Genomic DNA, 14,372 nt, shown 5'->3' with positions numbered 1-14,372 from the left:
GTAACTGGAATGTCCAGAAGACAGAAATATAACCTGAGAATAAACAACATTTGAGTTAAATGTCATGGCTTTTGTTTTTCACTAATAGAGTAAGCTAAATTTAGAGAATAGCATGTCTACCACTGTAGAAGGCTTGTGCCAACAATTGGCAATAAAAAACCCAGGCATGAGTTTTGCAGAGAATTCTGTCAAGTCGGCTCCACATGATTCCACTTTAGGAGCACAGATCGCTCAGTTTGGAGTGGAAAAAAAATCTCAAGGCAAATGTAACATGGAAATATTACTCACTGTTATTCAAGTAATTTCAAACACTCCAAAGACACCTGTACTCTGGAAACATTCCCTCAGATTGTATCCTTGTTCTTTCACATGCTTTTGTGCTTGTCTTTTCTACAGTCTCAGGCAATAGACCCATCATTGACCTCAGTGCTATCAGGGTAGTGTGGGGCAGTGTATAGAGCCCTGGAACAGTAGTCCACAGGATACAGATGCTGTGGCTGTCTCCTCCACTTAGCAAACACATAAATCTGTGCAAGGTACACATTCATAGATCCTAGTGCTGGGATTAAATAGTAGGCAGGTAAGTTATTTTACACCCCTATTTTGTTTAAAAGAAAGCTAAGTCCGGCAGAGATTTTTATTTGTTAAAGGCTACTTTTCCCAATCATTGGGAAAAGTCTGAAAAGTTTTGTTTCTTATTCTCTAAATAATATGTGCTTTATCTGCTTCATGAAAGATCATGGGAGGCATGTGAGATAATGTTTGTGAAATATAAAGCATCATGCAAAAGTAAGTGGTACACGCAATGCTCTAGGTGGCTTCAAAAGGGGAAATATCTGTACTGAGGAAAAGCAAAAAATTGATTTATTTAGCTTCTCGGTTCCCACCCACACTTCAAATTGCCATGGGCTAGATAGAGTTGCCTCTTTAAGGAGGACTCTTCCTCTTAGAGGTAGCCACAATTAACAACTTGTCAGTGTGGAGTATAAAGGCTTGCTCTTCACCCACTCTAAACAGTAATCCCAGCTATTTTTATCTGTGGGATTGGGTAAAAATTGTGTTGAGATTGCATCACAGCCAAAGCTTTTCTTCATAATCCTGATTCCTTCCTTTTTATTCCAAGAGTATTGATCTGAAGAGCATTTCTTAATAAACTTACCATATATGAGATTTTACTTCAGAGTGCACTTTCTGGGGAACCTGACCTGTGACACTGATATCTTTTTTCAAAGACGATGAGTGTGCTTTATAAACATTGATTGGTTGAGTTGAGGTTTTGTATGTGAATGAAACTTATCGTTTCTCTTCCACTATTGAAATTGTTTCCTATAAAGAGCTATGCACTTAAGGATAGTGACCAAATGAGTAAGTAGACAAGCATCCTGTAAGAAATGTATATTGGAGAATAGCTTACTCCAAAAGGCCTCAGTGAGACATCTTGTGTCCTTCTCCCTTCCAAGTCCAAGGTCACCAGGTCTGTGAAGCACACTGAAATCTGGCTTACCTAGCCAGTCACAAGTTCAGAGTACCCATAGAGATTCATTGCATTTTAATGTAAAAGTAACCAAATGAAACAGGACCCACTCATCTTTCTTCCTACAACTCCTATTTTTAGGAAGAAGGAACTAAAGCTTAGAAGAGTTAAGCAAATTATATAAAGTGCTCCCATTTTAATAAGTTGCAGAGTTAAAGCATGACTAAAACTCTGTCTGATGAAAATTCTTGCTGGGTATTTCAATAAACAGTCATGAAAAGACCTTTGTGCTTAGAGGTTGTGGCCTAATATAGGTGCAAGAAAGTGAACCCTCATGGTACAATCTGTGAATGATATAGTAAGTCTGTTGCATAAGAAGAACTGGCTTTGAGAAAAAAAAAAGCTGCTTGAGAGGCAAGTATATCCTGGACTATTCAAAAAGAAAAGCTGATATCAAAAAGGAGAACTGATATACTTAAAAACAAAATAAAACTGCCACCTCTCCCACTATCCCACCCCAGTGATATCCTAAACACCAGGATGGAAGAAGAATTGAAAGAGAAAAGAAAACATTCATGCAAGAATGTACATTGTTAAAGCAGGTACCTTGCTAAAGCAGATATAAAAGGACCCAGAAAGAGCAAAATGAATGGTGATCCCAGAACTGTGTTTCTCTTCTAGCTTGGCTTCAGAGCTAGCTTTCTAGCTCCTACCAATTGCTCTCACAATGCCTTAGCCACAGCGTTTATCCATGCATCTTCAGTGAGCTGTGCCACATCGACATGCAGCTAAAACCCTGTACATGGTCAGCTATGATAATGAATTGTTCTGCATAATGATTTTGCATGTCCATGCCCCCACTAATAGAACATCATGTCACTGCTTCGTTAATCTGATTGCAAAGATTTTGTCGGGCTCTGCCAGATGTGGAGAATGGCTTCCTGAGCCCTGAGCTCTGATTAATCATATCCTGGGCTGTCAGATCTATAACTTGAGCAGCAAGGAGACATGCGTCTCTTATTACAGGTTATAAATGCAAACACTCAGGCTGTTGCTATTATCCAGTAACAGTGGCCCAGAGGCTCCAGATCTTTCAGTGTTTCAAAGAAATCCAGAAATCCATATTTTCTATAGCTCATGGGTTGGATGCCATATGTGGACCAAAGAAAATACATCTGCATGTGGCATCCAACCCATAGGCTACTTTACCTTACAATGTACATAGTACTCAATTGTTTATCAAGTGCTTCACTATTGATTATATCACCTGCAACTTGGAATGTGGGTAAGATAAACACCATTCCCTTTCTATAGGTAAGCAAAATTTAATTTACAGAGGTGAAGTGATCTGTTTATAATTGTATACCTAGGGAGTAGAAAAGACTAAATGCTGATCTAAGCCCTAGGACTTATGGTCATTTCAGCAACCCTAAAGTTCTCATAAACTTCCTTCTATGTTAATACAACTTGTTTGTCTTCTAATGTCATCTGTTCCCTGGTGACTGTTTCTGCTCTCCTGACCACTGCACATCTGTGACATCTGCTCAGCTAAAGTTAGTGGCTTCTATCTGTTGCCTGGTTCTAGACTTCGTGTTTGGCTTCAACTTATGCTTTGTTTCTAAAATCTCAAATCTCCTGGGTTTTTACTTCTAGCCCTGTTCTCTACGGTTCAAGACCAGCCCAGCTGATATTCAGCTAAAAATAACATTGTGTAACACATAGTTTATTACATAACTTAGTATTTAATAGTCAATGCTAATTGAATACAGAAAAGTGAGATTTAAATGCGGTTTAGATAACACACTGGTAGACAAACCCAGAAGAGGGGAGCAGAATTTATGTACAATATGACTCTTTATATGTTTGTTTTTCTTTCAAATTATGATAAGTTCTCATCAATGTAAAAGGCCATTATTTTACTGTTTGTAGTGGTTTCAGCATCTCTGAGGTGGGAAACAGTGGGTACTGCTGCTTGAAAATGAAAGAACTAAGTGCTCACTGTGCACCTCACTCTGTGGAAGAACTTTATAGACTTTTTTCATGGAGTACCTCAAACAAAAGGAAGTACTGATACTTGGAAAACATTAGTCGTAAGATGATATAGATGCTTCTAATTAACCATAGGAATCAAATTATCTATCATTTTCTTGAGTTTCTACATTGTGCTAGGCCTTCTACTAAGAACTATAAAGATGACATTAATAACTTACAATAATTTCCAAGATAGGTTTTAGAATTTTAGTCTATCACAGTTAATGGAATTGGGACCTAGAAAACTCACATAGAGTGTAGTGAATCCAGGATTTAATCAAAGCCAAGTTAGAGAGGTTCCTTATACCATAGAGGCTCCAAGGATACCACCTACCTTTCAGGTCACATAACTTCAGAAGGAACTGAACTAACTAAAGTGAGCCTTGATTAAAGCCCATAATAAACAGAGGTTTGAGGTAAATGCAGAAATTTCAAGTAAGAGAAGAAACTAATTGTTTGTTCCTGCTATGGCACAGCCACAAAGTTGATCTTTGGTGAGAATAATGAATCTATTTCTACGGCCTCCATTTTCTCCATGTGTTTATTTTTTCTTTATTCTTTTAGAAAAGGGATAGGTTTTCTTTCATTTTGTCTTCTTTTAGTTTCTCTGTTTTCTAGGTTTTCTTTCATTTTGTTTTCTTTTAGTTTCTCTATTTTCTAGGTTTTCTTTCATTTTGTCTTCCTTTAGTTTCTCTATTTTCTTTTTCTTAAAACATTCCTTTATAAAACTACAAGTTTATTTTGAGTGAACATAAGATGGGTTTGTCCCCATTCTACCCAACGTGTTTTAGTGAGCCCAAAGAACATGCAGGGTGAAGACATTATCAGTTCAGAGGGGGACCTGTGGTCCACTGGAAGGCAGGCATTGAAGAGACAGAATTAGAAGCAGCTGTGGTCAACTAAGTCCTTCCGTCCTACAGTTTCAGCTTTGTCCTTCCATTCATTCTTCTAACAAAGCGTAAAGTTTCATTCCTATGCTTTACCAAGAAATAGCCAACTAACCTCCACAATTGCTTAGATTCCAAAGTTCAGAGGACAGAGCACAACTGTGTCATTTTTTCCCCTACTGTGTTTTGAAAAGGTCCTATTTTATGTTTTATTGTATATCCAACAAAATGTGCAGGGAAAAGGCAAGCCTTCAACAAAATCATAATTTATTCCTAAAAGACAACTCTGAACTTACCCTGCCTTAAATCACAGCAGTCTACAATTTCAAAAACCAAGTGGAACAAACACGCCCCCACAGGAACTTAAGAGTAATAAAAATACAGAGATTGAACCCCAGACTCCTCAGTCCTCAGAAAATAACTGTTTCAAGCAGCAGCAGGTCGGCATATCTGTAAGACTGGATCTGTGTTATACCAGTGGGTATAGAAAGGACATGTGGCTGAACTTCAGCAGTTTTCTTGTCCAGAGAATTATTGCTTGCTTCACTTTGTACATCTGCTGAGTACTTAGAAAGGACAACTAAAATAAAATCAATGCCAGGTAGTTCTAGAGGAAATGCTTCCATGGATTCTGATTTCACCATCTTAACATGAGAAGAAGGATAGGGGATATGATATCATTACAGTTTATTGACATAGAAGCGAAAGAAGTAATACGCTTTCCACCCTGATATGCAATGAGAGGTTCAAGACAGTACTTGAGAAGTGAGAGGAAGAGAGCAGATAGGAGTCAGGACTAGCTTGCAGCTCCTGCTCACACGGACAGAGCAGCATGTGGAGACTCACATCATGAACTTTTGCTCCAAGAACTACCACAGGAACATACCAGGAAAGGCAAGAAAATACGCAGACCCTTTCAAGGAACTGGATCACCGCTGCAGGCTCCATGAGACACTGAAAAAACCGTGAGTCGGCTTGCTTTCTCAATGAAAAGGGTCACGTTCTGGGGCAAGTTCTCAGCCCTGGTCACTAGCTGCTAGGAAATAGACTTGGTACTACTGGGCGGGTACAGTTGGAAGTGAGACAGATCTTTAGGACTGCGGGCTATGTGGGAGTGGGGTGAAGCCTATGACTGCCAGCGTCTCGTCTCTCACTTACCTAGTAACCTGTATGACTCAGCAGAGGCAGCTGTATCTTCCAGGGAATATGATTTCACTGGACTGGGAATCGCACCCCCATCCCCCACAGCAGCCGCAGCAAGCCCCACCCAAGGAGAGGCTGAGCTCAGACATGCCTATTCCTGCCCCCACCTGGTAGTCTTTCTATACTCACCCTGGTAGCTGAAGAAAAGGTCATAATCTCTTGGTAGCCCTATGGGGCCCTTCCCACCACTTGAGAAACCTGAATACTTAACCAGGTATTCCTAGGGCAAGTCTGCATTCTCTGTATAGGACCACAGCTGATGTGCTCTGGAAAGCGCCACCTCCTGGCTGGAGACCAACCAACACAAAACCAGCACAGTAAACAAAAACACAGCCAGGGACCTTCACACAGTCCACTTCACTCCCTTGCTACCTCCACGGGAGCAGGTGCTGGTATCCATGGCTGAAAGACCTGACGATGGATCACATCACAGGACTCTTTGCAGACACTCTCCAGTACCAGCCCAGAGCTCAGTAGCTCCACCAAGTGGCTAGATCCAGAAGAGCAAAAGCAATCACTACGGTTGGGCTCTCAAGAAGCCCCATTCCTAGGGGAAGGGGGAGAACACCACATCAAAGGAGCACTGTGTGGGACAAAAGAATCTGAACAGCAGCCCTTAAATCCTAGATCTTCCCTCTAACATAGTCTACTCAAATGAGAAGGAACCAGAAAAACAATTCTGGCAATATGATAAAACAAGGTTATTTAACACCCCAAAAGATCATAGCAGCTCACCAGCAGTGGATCCAAACCAAGGCGAAATCTCTGAATTGTCAAAAAAAAATTCAGAAGGTCGATTATTAAGCTAATCATGGAGGTACAAAAGAACGGTGAAGTCCAACTCGAAGAAATCAAAAATATGATACAGGATATGAAAGGAAAATTCTTCAGTGAAATAGCATAAATAAAAAAGCAATCACAACTTGTGGAAATAAAAGACACACTTAGAGAAATGAAAATGTACTGGAAAGTATCAGCAATAGAATCAAAGAAGCAGAAGAAAGAAACTTAGAGCTTGAAGACACAGCTTGCAAATTAACCCAATCCCTCAAAAGCAAAGAAAATAAATTTTTAATGAACAAAGCCTTCAAGAAGTTTGGGACTATGTTTAACATCCAAACCTAAGAATAATTGGTGTTTTCCAGCAAGAAGAGAAATCTAAAGTTTGGAAAGCACATTTGAGGGAATAAACAAGGAAAGATTCTCTTGTCTTGCTAAAGATCTAGACATCTAAAAACAGGAAGCTCAAAGAACACTTGGGAAATTTATTGCAAAAAAGTCATTGTCTAGACACATAGCCATCAGTTTATCTAAAGTCAAGACAAAGGAAAGAATCTTAAGAGCTGTGAGGCAAAAACACCACATAACCTAAAAAGGAAAGCCTATTAGATTATCAGCAGATTTCTTAGCAGAAACCCTGCAAGCTAGAAAAAATTGAGGTCTTATTTTTAGCCTCCTTAAGCAAAACAATTATCAGCCAATAATTTTGTATTCAGCAAAACTGAGCTTCATAAATGAAGAAAAGATAAAGTCTTTTTCAGACAAACACTGAGAGAATTCAACACTACCAAGCCAACACTACAAGAACTGCTAAAAGGAGCTCTGAATCTTGAAACAAATCTTCAAAATACACCAAAATAGAATCTCCTTAAAACATAAGTTTCAAGGACCTATATAACAATAACACAATAATAAAAAAGGTATTCAGGCAACAAATAGCAGGATGAATAGAATAGTACCTCACATAGCAATACTAACATTGAATGTAAATGGCCTAAATGACCCACACTTAAAAGGTACAGAATGGCAGAATGGATAAGAATTCATCAACCAAGTTTCTGCTGTCTTCAGGAGACTCACCTAACACATAAGGATTCGTATAAACTTTAGGTAAAGGGGTGGAAAAAAATATTCCATGTAAATGGAGATTAAAAGTGAGAAGGAGTAGCTATTCATATATCATAGAAAATAAACTTTAAAGCAACAGCAGTTAAAAAAGACAAAGATGAACTCTATATAATGATTAAATGACTAGTCCAACAGGAAAATGTCACAATCCTAAATATATATGCACCTAACACTGGAAATCCCCAATTTATAAAGCAGTTACTACTAGATCTAAGAAATTAGGTAGACCACAACACAATAATAGTGGCGGACTTCAATTCTCCACTAACAGCACTAGACAGGTCATCAAGACAGAAAGCCAACAAAGAAACAATAGACTTTAACTATACCCCAGAACAAATGGACTTAACAGATATTTACAGAACATTCTACCCAACAACTGCAGAATATACATTCTATTCATCAGCACATGTAGCATTCGCCAAGATAGATCCTATGACAGTCCACAAAACAAGTGTCAACAAATTTAAGAAATTAGAATTTACAGCAAGTACTCTCTCAGACCACAGTAAAATAAAATTGGAAATCAATTCCAAAAGGAACCCTCAAAACCATGCAAATATGTGGAAATTAAATAACCTGCTCCTGAACAATTGTTGAGTCAACAATGAAATCAAGATGAAAATTAAAAAATAATTTGAACGGAATGCTAATAGAGACACCACCTGTCAAAACCTCTGGGATCCAGCAAAAGTGGTGCCAAGAGGAAAGTTCATAATACTAAATGCCTACATCAAAAAGTCTGAAAGAACACAAGTAGGCAATCTAATGTCACACCTCACTGAAGAGGAGAAACAAGAACAATTCAAATCCAAACCCAACAGAAGAAAAGAAATAACAAAGATCAAAGCAGAACTAAATGAAATTAAAACAAACAAAAGAAACAATACACATGATAAGTGAAACAAAAAGCTGGTTCTTTGAGAAGATAAATAAAATTGATAGACCATTAGTGAGGTTAACCAAGAAGAGAGAAGATCCAAATAAACTCAATTAGAAATGAAACAGGAGATATTATTACTGATAATAATACCACAGAAATACAAAAGATCATTCAAGGCTACTATGAACACCTTTATGCACATAAACTAGAAAACCTAGAGGAGATAGATAAATTCCTGGAAATATACAATCATCCTAGATTAAACCAGGAAGATATAGAATCTGTGAACAGACCAGTAACAGGCAGTGAGATTGAAATGGTAATAAAAATAATTGCCAACAAAAACAAGTCCAGGATCAAATGGATTGACAATTTAATTCTATCAGACATTCAAAGAAGAATTGGTACCAATCTTATTGACAGTACCCCAAAATATAGAGAAAGAGGGAATCCTCCCTAAATCATTCCAAGAAGCCAGTATCACCCTAATACCAAAACCAGGGAAGGACATAACAAAAACAAAAAAAAGAAAAGAAAACTACAAATCAATATAGCTGATGAACATAGATGCAAAAATCATCACCAAAATACTTGCTAACTGAATCCAACAGCATATCAAAAAGATAATTGACAATGATCAAGTGGGTTTCATACCAGGAATGCAGGGATAGTTTAACATATGTAAATCAATAAATGTGATACACCACATAAACAGAATTAAAAACAAAAATCACAATCATCTCAATAGATGCAAAAAAAGCATTTGACAAAATCCAGCATCCCTTTATGAGTAAAAACCTCAGCAAAATTGGCATAGAAAGGACATATTTTAAGGTAATAAAAGCCATTTACAACAAACCCACAGCCAACATTATACTGAACAGGGAAAAGATGAAAGCAATCACCCTGAGAACTGGAAAAAGACAAGGATGCCCACTTTCTCCACTTCTATTCAACATAGTACTAAAAGTCCTAGCCACAGCAATCAGATAAGAGAAATAATTAAAGGACATTCAAATCAGTAAAGAGGAAGTCAAACTAGTTTGTTGCTGTTTGCTAATAATATGATCATATACCTAGAAAACCCTAATGACTCATGCAAAAAGCTCTCAGAACTGGTAAATGAATTCAGCAAAGTGTCAGGATACAAAATTACAAATCAGTAGCTCTGCTATAAACCAACAGTAACCAACCTGAGAATCAAATAAAGGACTCAACCCCTTTCACAATAGCTGCAAAAAAAAAAAAAAAAAATACTTAGGAATATAGCTAACCAAGGACATGAAAAACCTCTACAAGGAATACTACAAAACATTGCTGAAAGAAATCATGAATGGCACAAACAAATGGAAACACATCCCATGCTCATGGATGTGTAGAATCAATATTGTGAAAATGAACACACTGCCCAAAGCAATCTACAAATTCAATGCAATTCACATGAAAATACCATCTTCATTCTTCACAGAACTAGAAAAAAAAATTCTAAAATTCATATGGAACCAAAAAAGAGCCCACATAGCCAAAGCAATACTAAGCAAAAAGAAAAAATCTGGTGGCATTACATTACCTGACTTCAAACTATACTATAAGGCCATAGTCACCAAAACAGCATGGTAACGATATTAAAATAGGCACATAGACCAATAGAACAGAATAGAGAACCCAGAAATAAAGCCAAATACTTAAAGCCAACTGCTCTTCAACAAGGTAAACAAAAACATGAAGTGGGGAACAGACATCTTATTCAACAAATGGTGCTGGGATACCTGGTAAGCACATGTAGAAGAATGAAACTGGATCCTCATCTCTCACCTTATACAAAAATCAATTCAAGATGGATCAAAGACTTAAATCTAAGACCTAAAATCCTAAAGATTCTAGAAGATAACATCAGAAAAACCATTCTAGACATTGACTTAGGCAAAGACTTCATGACCAAGAACCCAAAAGTAAATGCAACAAAAACAAATACAAATAGATGAGACATAACTAAAAAGCTTCTACACAGCAAAAGAAATAATCAGTAGAGTTAACAGACAACCCACAGAGTGGGAGAAAAATCTTCACAATCTATGCATCTCACAAAGAACTAATATCCAGAATGTACAGATAACTCAAACAAATCAGCAAGATAAAAACAAACAATCCCATCATAAAGTGGGCTAAGGAAATGAATAGACAACTCTCAAAATAAGTTATACAAATGGCCAACAAGCATATGGAAAAATTCTCAACATCACTTATGATCAGGGAAATGCAAATCAAAACCTCAATGCGATACCACCTCACTCCTGCAAAAATGGCCATAATCAAAAAATAAATAAAAAGACATTGGCATGGGTGTGGTGAAAAGGGAACACTTTTACACTGTTGGTGGCAATGTAAACCAGTAAACCAGCCACTATGAGAAACAGTGTGGTGATTCCTTAAAGAACTAAAAGTAGGTCTACCATTTGATCCAGCAATCCCACTACTAACTACCCAAAGGAAAAGACATTATACAAAAAAGATACTTACACATGTATGTTTATAGCAGCACAATTTGCAATTGCAAAAATATGGAACCAGTCTAAATGCTCATCAATCAACAAGTAGATAAAATGTGATACACACACACACACACACACACACACACACACGCCATGGAATACTACTCAGCCATAAAAAGGAACAAAATAATGGCATTTGCAGGAACCTGGGTAGAAATGGAGATTATTATTCTAAGTGAAGTAACTCAAGAATGGAAAACCAAACATCATATGTTCTCACTCATATATGGGAGCCAAGCTGTGAGGGTGTAAAGGCATAAGAATGATACATTGGACTTTTGAAACTCAAGGGATATAGTGGGGGGGGGGGTGGTGAGAGATAAAACACTACACATTGGGTACAGTGTACACTGCTCAGGTGATGGGTACACCAACATCTCAGAAATGGCCACCAAAGAACTTACACATGTAACCAAACACCACCTGTTTCCCAAAAACCTACTGAAATAAAAAAATTTTTAAAAAGAAGATTGTACTTGAGACATCTTGACATCAGTAGTAAATTTTGTTATTGAGAAGAACTTCCCCCAGAGACTTCCCCAAATAACTCCTGAAAGATGGAAAACTGTGGTTGTGAAATCCAGGGTTTAAAAATATCAAAGCTATAAGGTTGAATCCTGCTGTCTTGAGAGGCTTCTTATTCATTTATTTATTAATTTAACATACTTTGTTGGGGGAGTGCAATCAGGATGTAACAAGCACTGTGCTACAATATTTGATGGGATGCAAGTGTGAATAACACCAAAATAGAAAATAATAATATAAATAATAGCAATTCATATTCATTAAATGCTTACTATCTGCCAGAAACTGTGCTTAAGATTCAAATACTTTTTTCATGTTAAATTTCCTCTCCAAAAGCTCTGTGATGAGTATATAATTATTTTCTTGTTTCACACATGAAGAAACATCAGTTTAAAATAGGTAAGTATCTTGCCCAATATTCGGAAGGTAAAAAACAATAGAACCAGGATTCAAATACAAGTAGATAAACTCTATAAAATACAAACTTAACCACTTTATTATTCTACCTAAAGGGTTTCAAGAGAGTTGACAGATGAGGGAAGATTCTGTATGCTACATTTTGTTAAGGAAGCAGCTTTGGGCACGATCATCTTTAACATGAAAACACAATTGAAGGTGGTTACACACTAATTCAACTTCTCTGTAATTGTATTATAAGTAAAGGGAGTTAACTCACCTGCTGACCAGGAATATGCAGTGAAAGCCTTGGTTACAGAAAAGATGAATTATAGGCTCAGAGAGTGTTAAATCTGTTGTGGATATAAGAGAACTTCACATCACTAGTATTGAAATTATTATATTTAGTATATAACAAATATATGTGTTCATATTTAGTATACAAATATAAATTTATTTCAAATAAAAATTTGCCTGTAGCCACATGTTTAAAAAATAAAGGCACTTACAATGGAATAATTTTTGGCCATAAAAAGAAATGAAGCATTGTTATATTTTGAAACAGGAAAACATTATGCTAAGAAAAAGAAGCCAGTCACAAAAGAGCACATATTATATAAATCCATTAATATAAAATTTCTGTAACACAGAACTCTATAGAGACAGAGAATAGGTTAGTGGTTGTTTAGAGCTAGGTGGCATGTGGGATGTTAGGGGATGTATCAGTCAGGGTTCTCTAGAGGGACAGAACTAAGAGGATAGATGTATATAAAAAGGGGAGTTTATTAAGGAGTACAGACTCATATGATCACAATGGTGAATTCCCACAATAGGCTGTCTGCAAGCTGAGGAGAAAAGAAGCCAATCCAAGTCCCAAAAGCTCAAAAGTAGGGATCGACAGTGCAGCCTTCAGTCTGTGGTCAAAGGTCCACGAGCCCCAGCACTGAAGAACTTGGAGCCCGATGTTCAAGGGTGGGAAGCATCCAGCGTGGGAGAAAGATGTAGGCCAGAAGACTAAGCCAGTCTAATCCTTCCACATTTCTCTGCCTGCTTTTATCATAGACACATTGGCAGCTGATTAGATTGTGCCCAACCGGATTGAAGGTGGGCCTGTCTCTCCCAGTCCACCCATACAAATATTAATCTCCATTGGCAACAGACACACCCAGAAACAATACTTTGCATGCTTCAATCCCATCAAGTTGACACTTAATATTAACCATCACAGGGGAGGTGATAGCCAAAGGGTACAGAGTTTCCTTTTGAGATAATAAAATATTGGGAGAAACCAGCCCCCGATATTTCACGTAGGTTCTTTTCTAGTTTCCCTAAGTGTCAGCCAGTCTGAGAAATAAAGGGAAAGAGTACAAAGGAGAAATTTTAAAGCTGGGTGTCCAGGGGAGCATCACATGTCAGCAGGTTCCGTGATGCCCCCTGAGCCATAAAACCAGCAAGTTTTTATTAGCAATTTTCAAAGGGGAGGGAGTGCACAAATAGAGTGTGGGTCACAGAGATCACATGCTTCAAGGGCAACAAAAGATCACAAGGCAGAAGATCAGGGTGAAACTAGAATCACTAATGAACTTCCATGTCCTACTGTGCATGCATTGTCAGGGTTCAAGAGCAGAGAACCGGTCTTTCTAGAATTCACCAGTCTGGAATTTCCTAATCCTAGCAAGCCTGGGGGCGCTGCAGGAGACTCGGGCGTGTTTCATCCCTATCTACATCTGCATAAGGCAGACACCCCCAGGGAGGCCATTTTAGAGGCCCCGCCCTGGGAATAGATTCTTTTCCCAGGGCTGTTAATTATTAATATTCCTTACTGGGAAAAGAATTCAGCCATATTTCTCTTACCCATTTTCGGTAATAAGAGAAATATGGCTCTGTCCCACCTGGCCTACAGGCAGCCAGACTTTAAGGTTATCTCCCTTGTTCCCTGAACATTGCTGTTATCCTGTTCTTTTTTCAAGGTGCCCAGATTTCATACTGTTTAAACAATTTGCGCAGTTAACACAATCATTACAGGGTCCTGAGGCGACATACATCCTCAGCTTATGAAGATGACAGGATTAAGAGATTAAAGTAAAGACAGGCATAGGAAATCACAACAGTATTGATTGGGGAAGTGATAAATGTCCATGAAATGTTCACAATTTCTGTTCTTCTGCTATGGCTTCAGCCGGTCCCTCCGTTCGGGGTCCCTGACTTCCTGCAACAATAAAATATTCTAAAATTGACTATGCTTCTGTTACATATTTGTGAATATACTAAATACCACTGACTTCTACACTTTAAATGCGTGACTTGTATGGTACATAAACTATATCTCAATAAAGCTGTTAAAAAAGAAAAAAAAAGAGAAGTAAAAAGCATGGAACCCCACTCTTGTAACCATTCCCTCCCACTATGAGACCCCTGAATCAACTCCACAGAGCTCTAATTTAAAAGGAAAAACACAACACTCTTTCAAGTCATTTTATGAATGACACATAGAAGCCACTGCTAAAATTCTA

At 37.8% G+C, this 14,372-nt stretch overlaps 2 annotated features.

Annotated features, from left to right (window-relative positions):
* Window positions 4,954–6,153: an enhancer, noted in NCBI's record as "CDK7 strongly-dependent group 2 enhancer chr3:21058595-21059794 (GRCh37/hg19 assembly coordinates)". NCBI's record gives its function as "activates an origin of replication core promoter dependent on BRD2, BRD4, P300/CBP, MED14 and CDK7 cofactors, with strong dependence on CDK7, by STARR-seq in HCT116 cells {active_cell/tissue: HCT116}" and the evidence as "EXISTENCE:reporter gene assay evidence [ECO:0000049][PMID:35650434]".
* Window positions 13,042–13,749: an enhancer, noted in NCBI's record as "OCT4-NANOG-H3K27ac hESC enhancer chr3:21050999-21051706 (GRCh37/hg19 assembly coordinates)". NCBI's record gives its function as "activates a minimal SCP1, AML or CMV promoter by ChIP-STARR-seq in primed H9 embryonic stem cells {active_cell/tissue: H9 hESC(primed)}" and the evidence as "EXISTENCE:reporter gene assay evidence [ECO:0000049][PMID:30033119]".

This window comes from Homo sapiens, chromosome 3 (genome assembly GCF_000001405.40).
Source record: "Homo sapiens chromosome 3, GRCh38.p14 Primary Assembly".
Lineage (NCBI taxonomy): Eukaryota > Metazoa > Chordata > Mammalia > Primates > Hominidae > Homo > Homo sapiens.
This window is presented reverse-complemented; position numbering and strand designations above follow the sequence as displayed.